Source organism: Homo sapiens, chromosome 22 (assembly GCF_000001405.40).
Source record: "Homo sapiens chromosome 22, GRCh38.p14 Primary Assembly".
Classification (NCBI taxonomy): Eukaryota; Metazoa; Chordata; class Mammalia; order Primates; family Hominidae; genus Homo; species Homo sapiens.
In genome coordinates this window covers 38,337,464-38,359,499 of record NC_000022.11, presented here as the reverse complement: position 1 = coordinate 38,359,499, position 22,036 = coordinate 38,337,464, and the positions used below count along the sequence as shown (strand labels likewise).

Sequence of the window (22,036 nt, the reverse complement as noted above, 5' to 3'; positions counted from 1 at the left end):
AAGGAAAAAAACATTTACCCTAGAACAGTGTATCCAGTGAAAATATCCTTCAAAGTGAAGGGGAAATAAACACTTTTCCACACAAAAGCTGAGGGATTTTGTCAACACCAGACCTGTCCTAGAAGAAATGCTAAAGGGAGTATTTCAATCAGAAAGATAAGGACATTAATGAGCAATAAGTAACAACCTGAAGGTATAAAACTCACTGGTAATAGTAGGTATACAGAAAAATGCAGAATGTTATAACACTGTAACTATGATGTATAAACTACTCTTACTCTAAGTAGACTAAACTATGAGCCAATCAAAAATATTAACTACAACTTTTCAAGACATAGATGGTATAATAAGATAGAAATAACAAAAAGTTAAAAAATAGGGAGACAAAGTTAAGTTGTAGAGTTTTTATTAGTTTTCTTTTTACTTGTTTATGAAAACTTATAAGATTAAAATAATGGATTATAAGATAGTATTTACAAGCCTCATGGTAACCTCAAACCAAAAAACATAACAATGGATACACGAAAAATAAAAAACAAGAAACTAAATCATATCACCAGAGAAAATTACCTTCACTAATGAAAGACAGGAATGAAAGAAGGAAGAGAAGACCCCAAAACAACCAGAAAACAAATAACAAAATGGCAGGAGTAAGTCCTTACTTATCAATAATAACATTGAGTGTCAGTAGACTAAACTTTTCAATCAAAAGATAGAGTGGATGAATGGATGAAAGAACAAGACCCATCCAGGTGTGGTGGCTCACGCCTGTAATCCCAGCAGTTTGGGAGGCCAAGGCAGGCAGATCATGAGGTCAAGAGCTAGAGACCATCCTGGCAAACATGGTGAAACCCTGTCTCTACTAAAAATACAAAAATTAGCAGGGTGTGGTGGTGCGCACCTGTAGTCCCAGCTACTCAGGAGGCTGAGGCAGGAGAATCACTTGAACCCGGGAGGCAGAGGTTGCAGTGAGCCGAGATGGTGCCACTGCACTCCAGTCTGGTGACAGAGCAAGACTCCAGCTCAAAAATAAATAAATAAATAAATAAATAAAATAAAATAAAAAGACCCATTGCTCTGTTGCCTACAGGAAACACTCTTCTCCCATAAAGACACATGTAGGCTGGAAGTGGTGTCTCACTCCTATAATCCCAGCACTTTGGGAGGCAGAGGCGGGTGGTTTACTGGAGGTCAGGAGTTCAAGACCAGCCTGGCCAATATGGTGAAACCGCGTCTCTACTAAAAATACAAAAAATTCGTCGGTCATGGTGGCGGTCGCCTGTGATCCCAGCTATCACCACTGAAACTCCTTTCAGTTTTCAGAAACAAACTGTAGGTGACCAGAAGCGTTATCCGCTAAGCGCACCACTTTAAGTCCCTGACTTAGAGCCACAAGTGTTCTGTTTACCTATTGTTACTACTCTTTTCACTCTGGCAAACAGATTAATTCACACAAAATTTTATTTGAATGGCTTTTCAATTTATCATAACAATGGTTACTAAAAAGTGAGAGAATATGTACTAAGGGTTGAGTACAAGTTAGTGCTAGTAGAAAATAAGAGCCTTAATAGAGAAAAAACTAGTTCTAATCAAAGACTGGATTTAGTCAATGATGTTTATATTTTTAGCTTACATTTATAGCTTCAGAAACATTTTGTTACTGATATTCCTATCATAATTATTGTTTCAAAAATTCTCTAGTCCCTAACCTTCCTTTTTTCATTAAACAACTGTTTTAAAATTAAACTGTTATCTTGAAGGTTTTTTTTTCTTTTGAGACTGAGTTTTGCTCCTGTAGCCCAGGCTGGAGTGTAATGGCACAATCTCGGCTCACTGCAACCTCCAGCTACCAGGTTCAAGTGATTCTCCTGCCTCAGCCTCCCAAGTATCTGGGATTACAGGCATGAACCACCACGCCCAGCTAATTTTTTGTATTTTTAGTAGAGATGGGGTTTCACTGTGTCGGCCAGGCTGGTCTTGAACTCCTGACCTCAAGTGATCTGCCCGCCTTGGCCTCCCAAAGTGCTGGGATTACAGGCATGAGCCTGGGTCCTCAGCCTTGAAGATCTTATAGAAAAAAGCAACTACTGTGTTATAGAATAACAAACTTTAAATAGAAACAAAGACATTTTAATACAATCTTAATTACTCTGTGAACATGTAGATTAACCTTTAAATATAGGCTTTTTTTTTTCCTCAAAACAGGATAAGAGTTATCTTCTCATTTTTAATTTCCAAGTTGAAACTACAGATGACTATGTTTACTGAATCACATTTCAGGATCTTAAATCTTCGGACAATTATGTGTTCTTTTTTTCTTCACATTTTTGGAACTCCCTCAGATTTAACATCAATTAAATAACCTAGCTAAAACCTTGAACTCTTTTCAAAACAGTAAGTGGTAGAATAACAATAATTTCATACTCATAGTTTTAAAAGAATTAAACAACTGGATTTGACAGACATTTTCACAATTTTTTGTTGTCATGCAATTTTGGATACAGCCATTCTGCATGGTTTCACAAAGTTGGCATAGAGAAATATAAGTTTCCTAAGTTGAAACGGAAGATTATAAAAGAGGGAAGGAGAATGAGAGTAAGAGACTGGTTAAAGATGCAAAGGATTTCCACTTCTTCATTGTTATGTAAATGTGTCTGCTTTTTAAAAAGCACAATCACTGAAAAATCTATTTGGATAATGCCTTCACTCTATGCAACTATATCTGACTACAGGCTGAGCACCCTTAATCCAAAAATTCTGAAATGCTCCAAAATGTGAAATTTTTTGAGTGCCAACATGATGCCAAAAGTGGAAAATTCCACACCCGACCTTCTGTGACAGGTTTGCAGTGAAAATGCAGGTATACAACATGAAGATGAGGTCAGGGAGTCATCTAAGACAAAAACCATTGTTAATAAGGCAGATGACTCCATAGGGAACTTTTTTTTTTTTTTTTTTTTTTTGAGACAGAGTGCAGCTCAGTCGCCCAGGCTGGAGTGCAGTGGTATGATCTCAGCTCACTGCAACCTCTGAGTCCCAGGTTCAAGCGATTCTCCTGCCTCAGCCTCCCGAGTAGCTGGGACTACAGGCATGCATCACCACGCCCGGCTAATTTTTGTATTTTTAGTAGAGACGGGGTTTCACCATGTTGGTCAGGATGTTCTCAATCTCTTAACCTAGTGATCCGCCCGCCTCTGCCTCCCAAAGTGCTGGGATGACAGGTGTGAGCCACCGCGCCAGGCCCATAGGAAACATTTTTAAAAGCCGGCCGGCAGAATGTCTCCTTAGCCTTAACGGACCCGCTTCCTGGTCCCTCAGCTGCTTCTGATGTTTCTTCTTGCCTAAGAAAAAATAAAATGTGGTGTACAGTAAACTTTTAATGAAAACACAGCATCCCAGGAGACTGAACGCCTGCCGCTGTGTGTTTCCACTGTTCAACAGCTGACACAGGGATTCTGATGCCGCTGCTGTGCTGCTTAGTTTCTCTGAACACTTTTTTTTTTTAACTGTACTAATGGTATGTCATTTTTTCTATTGTTAAGCACTCATGTGTGAATAAGTGTAAGAAAATGATGGCTTATCAGGAGCATATAAATTCAGAGTCAGGAGCTAGGCACGGTGGTTCACGCCTATAATCCCAGCACTTTGGGAGGCCGAGGTGGGTGGATCACCTGAGGTCAGCAGTTCAAGACCAGCCTGGCCAACATGGTGAAACCCCGTCTCTACTAAAAATACAAAAGTCAGCTGGGCATAGTGGCAGGCGCCTGTAATCCCAGCTACTTGGGAGGCTGAGACAGGAGAATCGCTTAAACTTGGGAGGCAGTGGTTACAGTGAGCCGAGTTCGCACCATTGCCCTCCAGCCTGGGTGACAAGAGAGGACGACGTGTTAGATCACTTTCAAATCCACACCAAGTGGAGACTCTGCTGGATGGGCGGAGCGCAGGCTGGCTCCAGGCCTTCCTGTTCCTGGCTCCGCCACCACCGGGCACGCTCAATTTCTTCCCCTCACATTCACCCAGAATGGGTCTATGTCCAGCCTGGTGGGGACCCTGCCTGGGCTGGGGGCTTGTCTCCCCACCAAAGAGGAGATATAGCAGGTACAGGCACCAGCACATGGCGGGGCTCAGAATATCCCCGCTGGATTGAATATGTGACTTCAGTCCATAGAATGAGAGGCTCCTGGCCGGGCGCAGTGGCTCATGCCTGTAATCCCAGCACTTTCGGAGGCTGACGTGGGCAGATCACGAGATCAAGAGATCAAGACCATCCTGGCCAACATGGTGAAACCCTGTCTCTACTAAAAATACAAAAATACAAAAATTAGCTGGGTGTGGTGACACGCGCCTGTAGTCCCAGCTACTCGGGAGGCTGAGGCAGGAGAATCACTTGAACCCAGGAGGCGGAGGTTGCACTGAGCCAAGATGGCGCCACTGCACTCCAGCCTGGGAGACAGAGGGAGACTCTGTCTCAAAAAAAAAAAAAAAAGAATGAGAGGCTCCTGGCCCAGCCTCACCTGCTGATTAGCGGGATGTAGAGGCTTTCTAGTGCTGGCTTCAGATCTTGTCACTCCACTGTCACCTTTGTTGTCTCCAGTGCCCACCTCTAAACTATTGTATTAAAATTATAGAATAACATGTTTTTAAATCAGCTTGCTTTTTTTTTACTTGAACAATTTTATTATTTTATTTTTGAAACTGAGTCTCACTCTGTCACCCAGGTTGGAGTGCAACGGCGCGATCTCAGCTCACTGCAACCTCTGCCTCCCAGGTTCAAGCGATTCTCATGCCTCAGCCTCCTAAATAGCTAGGATTACATGTGTGTGCCACCACGCCCAGCTCATTTTTGTATTTTTAGTACAGATGGGGTTTCACTATGTTGACCAGGCTGGTCTCGAAATCCTGACCTCAAGTGATCCGCCCGCCTTGGCCTCCCAAAGTGCTGGGATTACAGGCGCGAGCCACTGTGCCTGGAACAATTTTATTTTAAAAGGAAACTTCCTATCCCTACATAAGTGGAAACCAGTATCAACTTGCCACATATGGAAGGTAAAAGTGAAAAGAAATAGAATGAAGTCAAACAAGGAGTTTCTATTCTAGCCAGGTACTCCTGCTGGTCAGTGCTGGGCCCAAGGCCCAGGACCTGCCTCTCTGACTTTTGTTTTGGTTTCATTTGTTTTTTTTAGGGGGACAGGGTCTCACTCTTGCCCAGGCTGGAGTGCAGTGGTGCGATCTTGGCTCACTGCAACCTCAAACCCCCGAGCTCAAGCAGTCCTCCCAATTCAGCCTCCCAAGTAGCTGGGACCACAGGCACACACCATCATGCCGGGCTAATTTTTGTATTTTTTGTAAAGAGGTTTTCACCATGTTGCCCAGGCTGGTCTGTAATTCCTGGGCTCTAGTGATCTGTCACCTCGGCCTCCTGAAGTGCTGGGATTACAGGACCACAGCCAACCTCTGCCTCTCCATTGACGAGGTTGATAAGGTGGTGTAGACGGCTAGCACTCGATGGAGACCTCCTGACCCCATCAAAGGGAAGGGGAAAACACAGGAAGCTCTCCCACTGTGTGGTCAGGGCTAGTACCAGCTCTGTCCCTGGGCCTTGACAGGGCCTGGAGACACCTTTGGGAGGAGCAGTTCCAGCCCAAACTCCTGCAAGGGAGGGATGGAGAGGGGAGAGGCTGAACACAACCCACCTGGAACCCGGGGCTGGGCCCGATGCTTTGAATACCAACTTAATCTTCACAACAGCCTGTGAAGGGTGTGTGTATGCACGCGCGCGTGTGTGTGTGTACACCAATTTCTTGCTGAGAAAAAGGAGGCTCAGAGAGGTTAAGGCATTCGCTGGAGTCCACAGCAACCAAGCCGCTGGAACCCCTCCGCCGGGTTCCGAGGCCCTCGCTGTTCTCAGGCCAGCGCAGAATTGGTCCCAGGGCTGGACTCCTCCAGGTGGGGCGCCCGGAGCACTCCCGACCACCTGCTCCAAGGACACTGCCTCCTGGAAGCGTCCCTGGTTTCCCTTCGGAGGTGAACTCGTTCAGGGCACTTCTCGGAGTCGCAGTCTCAGGTGGCCAGGGCAGGCCTTCTCCCTATGGGTGCTCCCCACGTCCGCCCTGGGCTTGGCAATGAGAAGCAGCCCCGCCCCGCGTGACCAGGACCCGCCTGCAGCGCCCGCGGCGGCCACACGGGGGCAGCAGGCGAGCGCCGCCCGAATTCCCGGGTCCCAGCCTGGGCTGGACCGGAGGGCACTGGCGGGTTGCCTCGCCCCAAGAGCCTCAGTTTCTCTGTCTATATAATGGACTAGGCTGTCTGCCAGGGCCTTTTTGGTCCTAGCAATCTGACCCCAAGCGAGCTTTATTAACAAATAGAAAAAAGAAGACATAAAAACAAACAGCCGGGCGCGGTGGCTCATTCCTGTAATCCCAGCACTTTGGGAGGCCGAGGCGGGCGGATCACCTGAGATCGGGAGTTCGAGACCAGCCTGACCAACATGGAGAAACCCCGTTTCTACTAAAAATACAAAATTAGCCAGGCGTGGTGGCACATGCCTGCAATCCCAGCTACTCGAGAGGCTGAGGCAGGAGAATGTTTGAACCTGGGAGATGGAGGTTGCAGTGAGCCGAGATTGTGCCATTGCACTCCAGCCTGGGCAACAAGAGCAAACTGTGTCTCAAAATAAAATAAAATAATAAAAATAAATAAATAAATAAAACAAATGCAAAGGGGTGTTTGCTGAGTGTCCCTGATGGGTCCCACAGAAAAGTCCAGGCCCAGGTGGAGACCAAGAGCCAGGAGAGCACCACGAGTCCCCTGAGGTCACACCTGACTCCCAGCCCAACTCTGGGCCAGTGGAAACCCTCATGTCCAGATGGGGAAACTGAGGCCCAAATGGTATGGGGACTTGCCCAAGCCCTCAAATGGAGGACAGGGCAGAGCTGAGCCTGGGACTCTCACCCAAGTGGTCTCCGGGGGCCTCCCTCTAAGTCTAAGGACTTAGCAACCCCTTCGCTCACGTTTTTTGGATTTTTTTTTAAGGCAGAGTCTCTCTGTTGCCCAGGCTGGAGTGCAGTGGCACGATCTTGGCTCACTGCAACCTCTGCCTCCCGGGTTCAAATGATTCTCCTGCCTCAGCCTCCCGAGTGGCTGGGACTACAGGTGCCCACCACCATGCCCGGCTAATTTTTGTATTTTGAGTAGAGATGGGGTTTCGCCATGTTGGCCAGGCTGGTCTCGAACTCCTGACCTCATGATCTGCCTGCCTCAGCCTCCCAAAGTGCTGGGATTACAGGTGTGAGCCACCGCGCCCAGCCTGTTTTTTGGATGTCTAATGGAACCAGAACTGGCGGTCCCTTCTGTTTATGGACCCGTGCACACAGCAGGAAGGAGAGGCTCCAGAGGCCCTGGACTCGGGGGACAACCCTCGCTTCATCACCTCCTGAGGGTCCACCGCAGCCAGCCCTGGGCCTTCTGCCCCTTTCACTCCAAGATCTCTGGGCTGACCTTCATCAGCCCCTTCCACCCGCCTCAGGAGGTAGGGACAAGGCTGGGGGTGGCCTTTGCAGACCCTGAGAATGAATATTGTCCTGCATACACAGCCCAGTGGCCACGAGAGGCCGACGAAGATACTGAAGGTCACAGAGGGCCAGAGGCGGGGCCAGGGCTTGAGCCACCCTCTCTCCAGGCCCGTCTATACCATTGGGCTGCCCCCTTCAGACCTCCGGGCAGGAAAAGAAGGTAGAGGGGATATTCACTGAGCCCCCGCCTCGAGCCTGGGCCCGACCTGGGGTGTTTGCCTTACTGGCCGCTCCAGCCAGTGTGAGAGGCTGCACTATCATGCACCCCACTGACAGGTGAGGAAGGCGCTGTGACCACCAGAGGAGTGAGCAGACTGGAATTTGAGCCCAGGTCTGCTCAGCTCCTACACCCGGCACTGAGCTTCCGGTCTGACCTGGCTCTTGGGCAGGGGCCCTGCAGGCCGCCTCCCTATGTGGCCCCAGAGTCCAGAGAGCAGCAAGGAGAGTAGGTTTCTACGGTGACCTGGGCAAATGAAGACACTAACCTGTGCCTCAGTTTCCCCAGCCCTTCCCACTCACAGCAAAAAAAGAAACGAGGGCCCTTCAGCCCACCCAGGTCCCATGTTCCAGTGCTGATGTTGGGGACAGCCTGGGGCCCAGCCTCAGGAAGGCTGTGTGAACAGCTTCCTCAGCTGGGAAGTGAGGGCAAGACTGGGAAGGCCCTACAGCCACTGGATCTGGGGCCATGTTGGGGGGCCAGTGAAGGGGGCACCCCAGGCTAGTCTTCCAGGAGCTCCCTGGTTGGGGGGACAAGGAAGGACACAGGCAGGGACAACCAGGGCCACACTCAGGGCCATTGTGAGGGACAGGGATGGGGCTGTTGCCATCGTAGTGACAGAGCTGTGGTATGCTCCTGCCACCTTGCATTCCAGCCCAGGCTGCTCCCATCTTTGGCAGAGGGTGGGAAAACACATGATCCTGCCTTCCAGAGACTGTACTGGTCAGAGAAAGACATCAGCAGGAGAGCCAGAGATTCCTCCTCCTCTCCATCATCACCATCACCATTATTCTCATCACCATCACCGTCACCGTCATCATCATCATCACCATCATGGACTTCAAAGAAGTTCAAAGAATTTCCTCCTCTGGCCAGAGTGAATCCTGTTCTGTGGAAGCAGGAGGCTGGGTGGGAAGCCCTGTGGAGGCTCCACCCGTGTTTGGGTTCTGGGCAGGGATCTGGGGACAGGGGAGGCCTAATGCTTATTGCAGAAATTCTCTGCCTGGGAAGTCAGGATCACTCCTTGGAGGAGGCAGCCTGTCCTCTGAGCTTTCAGGAAAGGAACTGGTTGTGTGGTTCCCTGTAAGCTCTGGAGATGGGGCGGGCAGTAGGGGGAGGAGCACAGCAGTGTGGATGTATTAATACTTAGTGCTGGCCGGGTGCGGTGGCTTACGCCTGTAATTCCAGCAGTTTAGGAGGCCAAGGCAGGCAGATCACCTGAGGTCAGGAGTTCAACACCAGCTGAGGCAGGAGAATCGCTTGAACCCAGGAAGCAGAGGTTGCAGTGAGCCAAGATCACGACATTGCACTCCAGCCCTCCAGCCCAGGCAACAAGAGTGAAACTCCGTTCCCCCCCGCAAAAAAAAAAACTTAGTGCCACAGAACCTACGCTTAAAACCAGCTAAAATGACAAATCTTATATGATAGGTATTTTACCGCAATTTTAAAAATTATTTCCTGGCCAGGTATGGTGGCTCACATGTATAATCCCAGCCCTTTGGTGGCCATGGTGGGAGGATCCCCTGAGGCTAGGAGCTTGAGACCCGCCTGGGGAACATAGTGAGACCCCGTCTCAACAAAAATTTTTTAAAAATTAGCCAGGTGTGGGCCGGGCACAGTGGCTCACGCCTGTAATCCTAGCACTTTGGGAGGCCGAGGTGGGCGGATCACGAGGTCAGGAGATCGAGACCATCCTGGCTAACACGGGGAAACCCCGTCTCTACTAAAAATACAAAAAATTAGCCGGGCATGGTGGCGGGCGCCCGTAATCCCAGCTACTCGGGAGGCTGAGGCAGGAGAATGGCGTGAACCTGGGAGGTGGAGCTTGCAGTGAGCCGAGATTGCACCACTGCACTCCAGCCTGGGCGACAGAGCAAAACATCGTCTCAAAAAAAAAAAAATTAGCCAGGTGTGGTAACGTGCGCCTGTAGTCCAGCTATACAGGAGGAGGTTGAGGCTGTAGTGAGCCATGATTGCACCACTGCACTCCGGTCTGGGGGACAGAACAAGACCCTGTCTCCAGAGTAAATAAATAATTTTTACTTAAAAAATTAAAGAGTCCAGGTGCAGTGGTTCATGCCTTTAATCCGAGCCCTTTGGGAGACTGAGGTGGGTAAATTGCTTGAGTCCAGGAGTGTGACACCAGCCTGGACAACAGAGTAAGACCCTGTCTCTACAAAAAATAAAAATATCAGCTGGGTGTGGTGGTGTGTGCCTGTGGTCCCAGCTACTTGGGAGCGTGAGGTGAGAGGCTTGCTTGAGCCTGGGAGGATGAGGCTGCAGTGAGCTGTGATCACACCACCGCACAGCCTGGGTGACAGAGCGAGACCCTGTCTTAAACACAACAACAACAAAAAAATGAGGTCTTACTGCCCAGGGGCCCATTACCCTGCTATCTCCCAGCCCTCCCCACACAGAGTCACGTGGACAAGATGCTACGCGCTCACAAGGCCTCTTGGTCACCGTAACTCAGGGAGCCTTAGAGTCTTACCATCCGCCCTGCACCTACCCCAGCTGTCACGCACATCCCTGCCATCTGGGAAGACCCTGAGCTCTGTCCTCTGCTAAAAACCTGCTAGGACCCCTGTGGTCTACAAGACACAGTCCAGAGGCTTTGGTCTGGCATTTAAGGCTCCTGGCACTTGACCCGCTGACCTCTCCCATCACTCCTTGTGCAGGCCCTGCCCTAGCCCTGTGGGCACCTGTACCCAGCTCAAGGAGCAGCTTCGGAGCAGCCTCCCAGCAGCCTCTACTTCCGTCTAGACCTCCATACCTTGCCCGTCCCTGCTACCCCTTGGCCTTCGCCTTCCCTTCCTCTAGGAATGCCCTTCCCCAGCCTGGCAGGCTGACCCTGCTCCCTCCTCTGCCTCCTGGATGGCTCACAGGGGCATCCTCTGATGGCCCTGTCTTGACAAATTCCAGGCCCTTCCTGGTGCCAACACAAAGTAGGGGCTCAGCTGGAATCAGCCTACGGATTGGTTCACTGCAGACTTCCTGTCCAACCTCTGAACTCCATGGAGGAGGTGGGACTGGTAGGGACAACCCAAGAGAGTCAGGACCCCTGGGTTCCTGTCCTGCTCGAGCTTTGTTGTGTGACCTCAGGGAGGTGTCTCCCCTTCTAGGAAATGTGGCCTCCTGGGCAGCCAATCCCACAGGATGTGCTCCGTCAGAGCAGCAAAAGCGGGGACAGAGGGAATTATCAAGGCCATGACCCGAGGGTGGGGCACGGTCAGGTGACAGAGTGACAGGTGCATCATCCCCATAGCAGAGTTAGCTGGGTGCTGACACTCACTCACCACCTCCCGCCTCTCAGAGCTATGCTCAGTGCTTAGCCAAGCCTGTCCTGGCCTGCCTGAATGTCAGGGAGTGACCAGAACTTAGTCACCAGAATTACCCTCTTCGTCACCGCCTTCATACTCATCCCCATTCTCCTCATCACCGCCGTCACCCCCGTGCCATCAGCATCTGGAGGTTCAAAGAATTTCCTTCTCTGGAGGATGCCTCTGGCCAGTGACAAGCCTGCTCTCTGTATACAAGGTGGCCTGGACTAACAGACCTTTCCAGACTCTGTCCCTGACCTCCCCAGGGGTGTGAGGGGGGACAGGAACCCACTTTCCTGAGTACCTGGTATACACCAGGCATTGGGTTTTGTCTTCATAAGCTTCAAGGCGGGAATCTTAGCCCCATCTTATAGACTGGAAGACTGAGGCTTGGAGAGGTGGAGTTGCACAGTCGGGAGCTCACATGGTGGGGACTCAACTGAGTCTGCTCACCTCCAGCTTGCTCTTCCCTCCGCTTTTAGGCAAAAAGCAAAAGTGAGCGAAAAGCCTGTCCTCCGAAAGCCACCCCTTCTCAGCCCCATGGGCTTGCTCTTGCTGTCCCCTGCCTGGGGGTCCTCTGTGCTCCGAGGCAGCTGGGGTCAAGAGCCAGGCCCTGTAGCCCCCTTGCCAGGGTTCAAGACTAGCCATGTGACCTTGAGCAAGTCACTGACCCCTGCCACCAGGGTTCTCCAGCCATTGTTAAGTGGGGATGCTAATAACACCAGCCTCCCAGGGGCAGAGTGTGAAAAGCATTTAGGACAGAGAGGGGCACGGGTTGGCCAGGAGAATGATCATTTCCCCACCAGGTCAACGCCACCGCCTCTGCACTGCCTTCCTGGCCATCATCCCAGGTAGAGCTGCCCTCTTCCTTCTCCGCAGCTTTTCTCATCCTGCAAAGCAAGGGTGAGTAGCCTCCCTGCCTCCTCCTCACCCCTGGCCCTGCATCTCTTGAGGGCAGCAGTCTGCGGGGGGGTCCGCCAGGCTCCTGCTCATGCCCCTGGCAGGCCCTCGGATCTGCTGACACTTGAGTGAGCAAGTCCTCTTCCGTTTCCCCCTCCCACTCCTGTGGCCACCTGTCACCTCCTGGGAGTGCCGGGCATCCTCTCTGACCTTCTACCGACCCCAGCTCAGCTGAACCTTGTGTTCCGTGAGCTGAAACCCTCCAGCCCTCATCCCTCCTTGCTTCTAGCACAGGATGAGGGCCCCCTATGATCTCTGCACACCTCCTGGGCTCAGCCTGGAGTCCTGATATTCCCTGCCCACTGGCCACGTGACCTTAGGCAAGGCCTAGCCCCTCTGGGAGCCCTGGGCCATTCAACTGTAAAAGAGGGAAGAGACCCCCTTGCCTTCATGGACCGTTCTGAGGATTACAGAGAGAAGGTGGGAGCTCTTTGTAAACTGTAAAGCCTGGTGCACTTTGGAGATCTGGCCTTGTGGGTGCTCATTGCTGGCCGGAATGGGGTGGGGTGGTGGATGACTGGAGTCAATTGGGAAGCACCTGCCTTGTCTGAGAGAAGAACTAAGCTCGATGTCCCAGTGGGGCAGAAGCGTGAGTCCCTCAGCCTTGGAATCAGAAGGCCTGGGGTCGGTTCCACTGAATTCACTCCCATCCTGCCCCAGCCCCTGCTTTGAGCTAAGACCTCTGTCCAGCGCCCGGACCCAGGTGAGCCCCACAGTCCCTGTCCCGAAAGAGCTGAGAGCCTGCTGGGGAAACAGTCCTAGAAACACCTCGCTAGCACCCAGTGTGGACCCAGAGGAAGGGGCTCCTAGGAGAAGTGGCCCAGGGCCCAACTCGGAAGGAAGCAGCCTTCAGAATCAGCCGCTGGAGCTGCGGGACTCGCCCACGGCCCTCAGGACTCCCTGGTAAGGTCCACGGAAGCTTCGGGGAAGAGGCAAGTGAAGTCTTCCAAGAAACTGCCATAATTCAATCAGAAAAAGAACCCTGTTAATTTAGTCAAAGAACCAGTTAATTGAATTTCTTTCCAAATCCAGGCCTATTCAGAAAGCCAGTGAATTCAATGCCTACTAAATTTAAAGTCAACTCTCCAAGTAATCTAATGAATGGCATGGCCAGCTGAGTCAAGTCCCCAATAACTCTGCTTTGAAATTGTCCAGTCCCGTGACCATCATTCAATCGGCTTAGCTTTTCTTCTTTTTTTTTTATTAAAGTGTAATTTGGGGAAACAATGGTCCACTTTGGTCAAACGACCAGAAAGTTGACGCTGAAGAAGGCCGGCGCCAGTAAAATGAGAAATTGGTCATGCCTAGCTGGGGGTGGCATTGTGTGGTGACAGGGCTCAAGGAGGGTGTTAGGTCCCCACTGTACCCCAGCCAGTGAGCCTGGGGTGTCCTTCTCGCACTCTTTGCCTCCATTTCCACATCTGCAAACTGGAGAGGCAGCTGAGCATTCAATCAGGAAGCCAAGGGGAGCGCCCTCCCAAGGATGCCTGGTGGCAGGTCCCCTTCCCTCACCATTCTGCCATCACCCTGGGCCTTGTGGGAGAGGAGCCTGCAGATTCTGTTGACCCAGTTTCCTTCTCTGTAAAATGGGGAAATTGGTCATTTAATTTAATTCGATTTATGGAATGGAAAATATTTTCACAGACATCAAAATTCAAAAGTTGGGCGGGCACGGTGGCTCACCCCTGCAGTCCCAGCACTTTGAGGCTGAGGCAGGCAAATCGCCTGAGGTTAGGAGTTCGAGACCAGCCTGGCCAACATGGTGAAACCCCATCTCTACTAAAATACAAAAAATCAGCCGGGCGTGGTGGTGCACACCTGTAATCCCAGCTACTTGGGAGGCTGAGGCAGGAGAATCGCTTGAACCTGGGAGGCGGAGGTTGTAGTGAGCCAAGATCACACCACTGCACTCCAGCCTGGGCAACAGAGTGAGACCCTGTCTCAAAAAAAAAAAAGAAGTTACCAAAGAGGGTACAGTACAGTCTCCTTCCCTCTCAGTTTCCCTTCCACCCTGTCCCCAACCTTTGTATTTTCTTTCCTAGGAACAGTCTCTTACTATTCTTAGTCATTTTTATATTATATTATTAGTATTTTTCTTATTGATTTGTAACTGCTTTTTATATACTAAAGAAAGCATGGGCTGGGTGCGGTGGCTTACGCCTGTAATCCCAGCACTTTGGGAGGCCTTGGCGGGCGGATCACGAGGTCAGGAGACCAAGACCATCCTGGTTAACATGGTGAAACCCTGTCTCTACTAAAAATACAAAAAATTAGCCGGGTGTGGTGGAGGGCGCCTATAGTCCCAGCTACTCGGGAGGCTGAGGCAGGAGAATGGCGTGAACCCGGGAGGTGGAGCTTGCAGTGAGCCGAGATTGCGCCACTGCATTCTGGCCTGGGCAAAAGAGCGATACTCTGTCTCAAAAAAAAAAAAAAAAAAAAAAGCATGACTCGCAAATATTTTTCTTCTGGGCCCATCCAGAGATGCTGTATGTACATAGAAGCAAATACACATATATTTCAAGGGGCACTTTGAATCTAAGTTTGCTGGGGCTCTTTTCAAGTCAATGGTCCGGGTGAATCTCTGTGGTCTGAATCTTGAAGCTGGAGCTAGGACCAGAGCTGGGTGACCTCTCACCATTCTGGGCTGGGAACGACTCACCCTCAGTTCCATCTCTATCCGTTTATCTTAGGCCTTTGAGGGGAGGGACTGCACCTGAGTACAGCACCCAGGCGTCTTCTGCAGCCCACAGAAGGTTCAGCTTAGGGCTGGACGCAGTGGCTCACACCTGTAATCCAAGCACTTTGGGAGGCCGAGGCGGGCAGATCATCTGATGTTGGGAGTTCGAGACCAGCCTGACCAACATGGAGAAACTCCATCTCTACTAAAAATACAAAATTAGCCGGGCGTGGTGGTGCATGCCTGTAATCCCAGCTACTTGGGAGGCTGAGGCAGGAGAATCGCTTGAACCCGGGAGGCAGACGTTGCGGCGAGTCGAGATCTCACCATTGCGCTCCAGCCTGGGCAACAAGAGTGAAACTCTGTCTCAAAAGAAAAAAAAAGAAAAGAAAAGAAGAAGAAGAAGGTTCATCTTCAGACTCCTAGTCCAGAGCTCTCAGCAATCCTCATCTTGTAATGCTGTCTACAGACTCCAAGTATGCAATGGGCCAAGCCACACCCTCTCCCTCTTCCTCCTGCCCAAGGGCAGAGATTCATGGAAGGTTGTCTGTGATGAGGAATGGAGTCGTTGCCCCGGCCCAAATCGCACCCCAGGCCTGACTCAGTTGGTGGGCCTCTGCCTTTACTGCCTTGGCAAACTCCTACACATACTTGAAGGCCCAGCTGCAGTGAAGCTCCTCTGGGAAGACTTCGTGACTCCCATCCCTTCTCTCTTATGGCTCTGATCACCTTGTCCATGTCTACACTTACCAGAGCAAGAACCGTGTTTTCTGGTTTCTCGGTCCTCCAGGATCTCCCAACGTGAATTAGCAACCGATGCATCAAAGGTGGCACCTCGGCCGGGCACGGTGGCTCACGCCTGTAATCTCAGCACTTTGGGAGGCCGAGGTGGGCAGATCATGAGGTCAGGAGATCGAGACCATCCTGGCTAACATGGTGAAACTCCGTCTCTACTAAAAATATAAAAAAATTAGCCGGGCGTGGTGGCAGGTGCCTGTAGTCCCAGCTACTGGGGAGGCTGAGGCAGGAGAATGGCGTGAACCCGGGAGGCGGAGCTTGCAGTGAGCTGAGATTGGGCCACTGCACTCCAGCCTGGGCGACAGAGCAAGACTCCGTCTCAAAAAAAAAAAGGTGGCACCACCACCATTTTGGGGCCTCCTCAGTTTCCTCATTTGAAAAGGAGGAACATAATATAAGGCCAACCACAGAGGGTTGTTGAGAGGATTAAATGAGTCAGCTCATGAAAAGCCCTTAGAACAGTCCCAGGCGCAGAGCAAGGGCACAATGTGTAGTTGCTATCGATTATGACTAGTCTTGGGATCTTGAGCAAATCCCTTCTCTTCTTCGTGGCCTCCGTTTTTTGGTTTTTGTTTTTTGTTTGAGATGGAGTCTTGCTCTGTCACCCAGGCTGAAGTGCAGTGGCGCCATCTTGGCTCACTGCAACCTCCGCCTCCTGGATTCAAGCTGTTCTACTGCCTCAGCCTCCCAAGTGGCTAGGACTACAGGCGCCCGCCACAATGCCCGGCTAATTTTTGTATCTTTTAGTAAGTATGGGGTTTCACCATGTTGGTCGGGCTGGTCTTGAACTCCTGACCTCAAGTGATCTGCCCGCTTCAGCCTGGGATTACAGGTGTGAGCCACTGCTCCTGGCCAGTTTTTGAGGGTTTTTTTTCTTTTTTCTTTTCCTTTTCTGTTTTTTGAGATGGACTCTTGCTCTGTTGCCCAGGCTGGAGTGCAATGGCAAGATCTCTGCTCACTCAACCTCTGCCTTCTGGGTTTAAGTGATTCTCCTGCCTCAGCCTCCCGAGTAGCTGGGATTACAGGCACCCACCACCACGCCCAGCTAATTTTTGTATTATTTAGTAGAGACGGGGTCTCACCATGTTGGACAGGCTGGTCTCGAACTCCTGACCTCTGGTGATCCACCTGCCTTGGCCTCCCAAAGTGCTGGGCTTACAGGCATGAGTCACTACGCCTGTCTGGGCCAGTTTTTTAATCTACAAACTGAAGGGTGAAATTGCATGCCTGGTCAATGATCACCAATGGATGCTAAATCCACTGGGTAAAAGATTGATGGGAAACTTTGCAGCAGAAGGATGAGGCTAACAACACCTAAAGCCACTGATTAACCTTAAGGTCACTAAAAGGTAGGGCGGCCCGACCCTATGGGCCTCCTTCTCTGGTGCACCAGGAAGGACACAATGTCATCTATGAAATATTCTTTTTTTGGCCGGGCGCTGTGGCTCACGCCTGTAATCTCAGCACTTTGGGAGGCCGAGGCACGTGGATCACGAGGTCAGGAGATTGAGACCATCCTGGCTAACACGGTGAAACCCTGTCTCTACTAAAAATACACAAAAATTAGTCGGGTGTGGTGGCGGGCACCTGTAGTCCCAGCTACTCGGGAGGCTGAGGCAGGAGAATGGTGTGAACCCAGGAGGCAGAGCTTGCAGTGAGCTGAGATAGCGCCACTGCACTCCAGCCTGGGCGACAGAGCCAGACTCTGTCTCAAAAAAAAAAAAAAGACTCCTTTTGAGAAGGAGTCTTGCTCTGTTGCCCAGGCTGGAGTGCAGTGGTGCAATCTCTGCTCACTGCAACCTCCCTCTCCCGGGATCAAGTGATTCTTCTGTCTCAGCCTCCCAAGCAGCTGGGATAACAGGCACCCACCACCATGCCCTGCTAATTTTTGTATTTTTACTAGAGACAGGGTTTCACCATGTTGGCCAGGCTGATCTGGAACTCCTGACCTCGTGATCCACCGGCCTTGGCCTCCCAAAGTGCTGGGATTACAGGCGTGAGCCACCACACCTGGCCAAAATATTCTTGATAAAATCATTGTTGAATTCAAATCAAATCAAGCTACCAGCCTCTAGGGTCTACACTTGATTACCAGCTTAGGGAAATATGGGGGTAGTGGAGCACATTTAAAAAAAAAAAAAAACCCGAGGGCTGGGTGCGGTGGCTCACGCCTGTCATCCTAGCACTTTGGGAAGCTGAGGGGGGCAGGTCATCTGAGGTCAGGAATTCAAGACCAGCCTGGCCAACCTGGTGAAACCCTGTCTCTATTAAAAATGCAAAAATTAGCTAGGGATGGTGGTGAATGCCTGTAATACTAGCTACTTGGGAGGGTGAGGCAGGAGAATCTCTTGAACCCAGGAGGCAGAGTTTGCAGTGAGCCGAGATTACACCACTGCACTCCAGCCTAGGCGACAGAGCAAGACTCCGTAAAAAAACAAACAAACAAACAAAATACCCACGAGGGCTGGACGCGGTGGCCTGTAATCCTAGCACTTTGGGAAGCCAAGGTGGGCAGATCACTTGAGGTCAGGAGTTCAAGACCAACCTGGCCAACGTGGTGAAACCCTGTCTCTAGTAAAGCTACAAAAATTAGCCAGGCGTGATGGCAGGTGCCTGTCCCAGCTACTTGGGAGGCTCAGGCAGAAGAATCGCTTGAACCCAGGAGGCAGAGTTTGCAGTGAGCTGAGATCACACCACTGCACTCCAGCCTGGATGACAGAGACTCCATCTCAGAAAAACAAAACAAAACAAAAAAAAAACCCCAACAAGGATGCAGTCGACTAAATCCAGACTGTGGGGCTCAGTCTAGAATCTTACTCGGTGACGAAAAGGAAGGAGGACCTGACACACATTACAACATGGATGAACCTTGAAAACACGACACTGAGTGAAAGAAGCCAGACGCTGTCTCCATTTACATGAGCTGTCCAAAAGAGGCAAATCCAGAGACAAAAGTCCATTAGCGGTCCCCAGAGGCTGGGGGGAGGGCTGAAGTGGGGAACGACTGCGAGTGGAGATGGGGTTTCTTTTTTTTTTTTCTTTTTTTTTTTTGAGGCAGAGTCTTGCTCTGTGGCCCAGGCTGGAGTGCAGTGGCGCGATCTCGGCTCACTGCAGGCTGTGCCTCCCGGGTTCACACCATTCTCCTGCCTCAGCCTCCCGAGTAGCTGGGACTACAGGTGCCCGCCACTACCCCTGGCTAATTTTTTGTGTTTTTAGTAGAGACGGGGTTTCACCGTGTTAGCCAGGATGGTCTCGATCTCCTGATCTCGTGATCCGCCTGCCTCAGCCTCCCAAAGTGCTGGGATTACAGGCGTGAGCCACCGCGCCCAGCTGGGGGTTTTTTTTAGGTCAATAAAAATATTGGGGAATTAGGCTGGGCATGGTGCCTCACGCCTGTAGTCCCACTGCTTTGGGAGGCCGAAGTGGACAGATTGCTTGAGGTCAGGAGTTCAAGACCAGCCTGGCCTACGTGGTGAAGCCCCATCTCTACCGGAACTACAAAAATTAGCCAGGCATGGTGGCAGGTGCCTGTCCCAGCTACCCAGGAGGCTGAGGCAGGAGAATCGCTTGAACCTGGGAGGTGGAGGTTGCAGTGAGCTGAGATCATGCCACAGCACTCCAGCCTAGGTGACAGAGTGAGACTCCATCTCAAAAAAAAAAAAAATTGGGGAATTAGATAGTATTAGTGGTTGCAAAACCTTGTGAATATACTAAAAGCTACTGACATTTTCTTTTCTTCTTTTGAGATGGACTTTTGCTCTTGTTGCCCATGCCGGAGTGCAGTAGCGCAATCTCGGCTCACTGCAACCTCTGCCTCCCTGTTTCAAGTGATTCTCCTGCCTCAGCCTCCTGAGTAGCTGGGATTACAGGCTCCTGCCACCATGTCCATCTAATTTTTGTATTTTTCGTAGAGACAGGGTTTCACCATGTTGGCCAGATTGATCTCAAACTCCAGAACCTCAGGTGATCTGCCCGTCTTGGCTTCCCAAAGTGCTGGAATTACAGGCTTGAGCCATTGTGCCCGGCTATATATAAAATATATATTTTATATATTGTATAAAATATATATTTTATATATTGTATAAATTATATATTTTACATATTGTATAAAATATATATTTTATATATTGTATAAATTATATATTTTATATATTGTATAAATTATATATTTTATATATTGTATAAATTATATATTTTATATATTGTATAAATTATATATTTTATATATTGTATAAATTATATATTTTATATATTGTATAAATTATATATTTTATATATTGTATAAATTATATATTTTATATATTGTATAAATTATATATTTTATATATTGTATAAATTATATATTTTATATATTGTATAAAATATATACTTTATACATTGTATAAAATATATAATTTATACAATATATAAATTATATATTTTATACAATGTATAAATTATATATACTTTTATATATTATATATTTATATGTAATATATATATTATGTATAATATATATATTACATTATTGGTGGATGGGCCTGATAGCTGACCTCTCAGTCTTGCAGCTTGAACTCTGGGAAGCTCTGTCCTCCCTGGGTCCTTTCTGGGTTGGCACTGCCAGCCTCAAAGCCCCCTGGGTGGGAGGAAGGGGCTCCCCCTCAGGAAGAAGGCAGGGTGAGACTCCTGCCCCTCACACTCTGTGGTTTCCTTCCACACTGCCTTTTTTTGAAGCTGTTGCCCAAGGGTAAACAAACTCTGCTCCTTGACTCCCTTTAGCCCAGTGGGGGCTGGTAGCCTTTTAGCCTGGTGGCTAACCAGGAGTTTGCCTAAGAGGCCCTGTTGGGCTTAGAACAGAAAGGCCTCTGGCCCTTTCTACACATGTGACTTTGGGAATCAACCTCTCAGACCCTCCTTTCCTCATCTGTAACATGAACAAATAAGAATTCCTACCCCAGGACTATGGCAAGGATTACATGAAAGAGGCTTATCCTAGATTATAGTAGGTGCTCAACTAATGGGAACTTTTTTTTTTTCTTGAGTCTTGCTCTGTCACCCAGGCTGAAGTGCAGTGGCGTGATCTCAGCTCACTGCAGCCTCCGCCTCCTGGGCTCAAGCCATTCTCCTGCCCCAGTTTCCTGAGTAGCTGGGATTACAGGTGCCCGGCATCATGCTTGGCTAATTTTTGTGTTTTTATTTTTACGTTTTTATTTATTTTTATTTTTTAGATGGAGTTTTGCTGTTGTCACTCAGGCTAGAATGCAATGGTGTGATATCAGCTCACTGCAACCTCCGCCTCATGGGTTCAAGCAATTCTCCTGCCTCAGCCTCCTGAGTAGCTGGGATTACAGATGTGTGCCGCCCTGCCTGGCTAATTTTTGTATTTTTAGTAGAGATGGGGTTTCACCATGTTGGCCAGGCTGGTCTCAAAGTCCTGACCTCAAGTGATCCACCTGCCTTGGCGTCCCAAAGTGCTGGGATTACAGGTGTGAGCCACCGTGCCCTGAAACTGGGAACTTTTTAAGGAATGAAGAAACTTAGCTGGGCGTAGCGGCTCACGTCTGTAATCCCTGCACTTTGAGAGGCCAAGGCAGGCGGATCATCTGAGTTCAGGAGTTCGAGACCAGCCTGGCCAATGTGGTGAAACCCCGCCTTGACTAAAAATACAAAAATTAGGTCGTATGTGATGGCTCACGCCTGTAATCCCAGCACTTTGGGAGGCCAAGGCAGGTGGATCACGAGGTCAGGAGATCGAGACCATCCTGGCTAACATGGTGAAAACCTGTCTCTACCAAAAATACAAAAAACTAGCTGGGTGTGGTGGCGGGCACCTATAGTCCCAGCTACTCGGGAGGCTGAGGCAGGAGAATCGCTTGAACCTGGGAGGCAGAGGTTGCAGTGAGCCGAAATTGCACCATTGCACTCCAGCCTGGGCAACAGAGCAAGACTCCGTATCAAAAAAAAATTTTTTTTAATTAAAAAAAAAGAAATGAAGAAACTTTATAAAAGTGATATAAGCTTATTAGATGTTGAAAAAGCAGGAAAACAGAAGGATAATAAAGAAGCCTCATAGTGCCACCACCCAGAAATAATCGTAGTGAACATTTTCCTTCCAGACTCTTCCTTGTGCATAAATTGTTTTGCTTTTAAGTATAGCTGTGACCCTGCTGTCACCACACATTGACATCCTGCTTTTATTCTCTTCATATTATAACATATTTCCTCATATTATTATAAGCTGTTTGTAAACATAACTTAATGCTTGCATAATATTCTATCGTGTGTTTGCTCTGTTAAAGAACCCCCTTCTCTGGACACTTAGACCAGCCCCAACCCTCCCCATTATAAAGAACTCCACAATGCCTGGGTGCAGTGGCTCACGCCTCTAACTCTAGCACTTTGGGAGGCTGAGGTAGGTTCATCACTTGAGCCCAGGAGTTCAAGACTAGCCTGGGAAACATAGTGAGACCCCACCTTTTTTTTTTTTTTGAGACAGGATCTCACTCTGTTGCCA

The 22,036-nt window shown here is 49.6% G+C and overlaps 1 protein-coding gene and 1 pseudogene across 2 annotated transcripts in view, besides 5 other annotated features; both read left to right on the top strand.

The window, feature by feature from the left end:
• TPTEP2 (TPTE pseudogene 2) overlaps positions 1-14,835 on the top strand; it is a 54,262-nt pseudogene extending 39,427 nt beyond the window's left edge. Inside the window, exon 5 of the transcript NR_002821.2 lies at positions 14,759-14,835. The product of NR_002821.2 is annotated as a TPTE pseudogene 2 (transcript). The remainder of the gene's footprint in view (positions 1-14,758) is intronic.
• TPTEP2-CSNK1E (TPTEP2-CSNK1E readthrough) overlaps positions 1-22,036 on the top strand; it is a 108,225-nt gene that overhangs the window by 39,416 nt on the left and 46,773 nt on the right. The window lies entirely within an intron of this gene.
• Positions 6,059-6,298: a silencer, noted in NCBI's record as "silent region_13716". NCBI's record gives its function as "represses an Ori minimal core promoter by ATAC-STARR-seq in GM12878 lymphoblastoid cells {active_cell/tissue: GM12878}" and the evidence as "EXISTENCE:reporter gene assay evidence [ECO:0000049][PMID:35858748]".
• Positions 11,129-11,288: an enhancer, noted in NCBI's record as "active region_19010". NCBI's record gives its function as "activates an Ori minimal core promoter by ATAC-STARR-seq in GM12878 lymphoblastoid cells {active_cell/tissue: GM12878}" and the evidence as "EXISTENCE:reporter gene assay evidence [ECO:0000049][PMID:35858748]".
• Positions 11,503-12,400: an enhancer, noted in NCBI's record as "H3K4me1 hESC enhancer chr22:38743105-38744002 (GRCh37/hg19 assembly coordinates)". NCBI's record gives its function as "activates a minimal SCP1, AML or CMV promoter by ChIP-STARR-seq in primed H9 embryonic stem cells {active_cell/tissue: H9 hESC(primed)}" and the evidence as "EXISTENCE:reporter gene assay evidence [ECO:0000049][PMID:30033119]".
• Positions 14,493-14,992: an enhancer, noted in NCBI's record as "H3K4me1 hESC enhancer chr22:38740513-38741012 (GRCh37/hg19 assembly coordinates)". NCBI's record gives its function as "activates a minimal SCP1, AML or CMV promoter by ChIP-STARR-seq in primed H9 embryonic stem cells {active_cell/tissue: H9 hESC(primed)}" and the evidence as "EXISTENCE:reporter gene assay evidence [ECO:0000049][PMID:30033119]".
• Positions 17,761-17,945: a silencer, noted in NCBI's record as "fragment chr22:38737560-38737744 (GRCh37/hg19 assembly coordinates)". NCBI's record gives its function as "represses an EF-1alpha promoter that drives an FKBP-Casp9 reporter gene in an ReSE screen in phorbol 12-myristate 13-acetate-treated (for megakaryocytic differentiation) K562 erythroleukemia cells {active_cell/tissue: K562(+PMA)}" and the evidence as "EXISTENCE:reporter gene assay evidence [ECO:0000049][PMID:32094911]".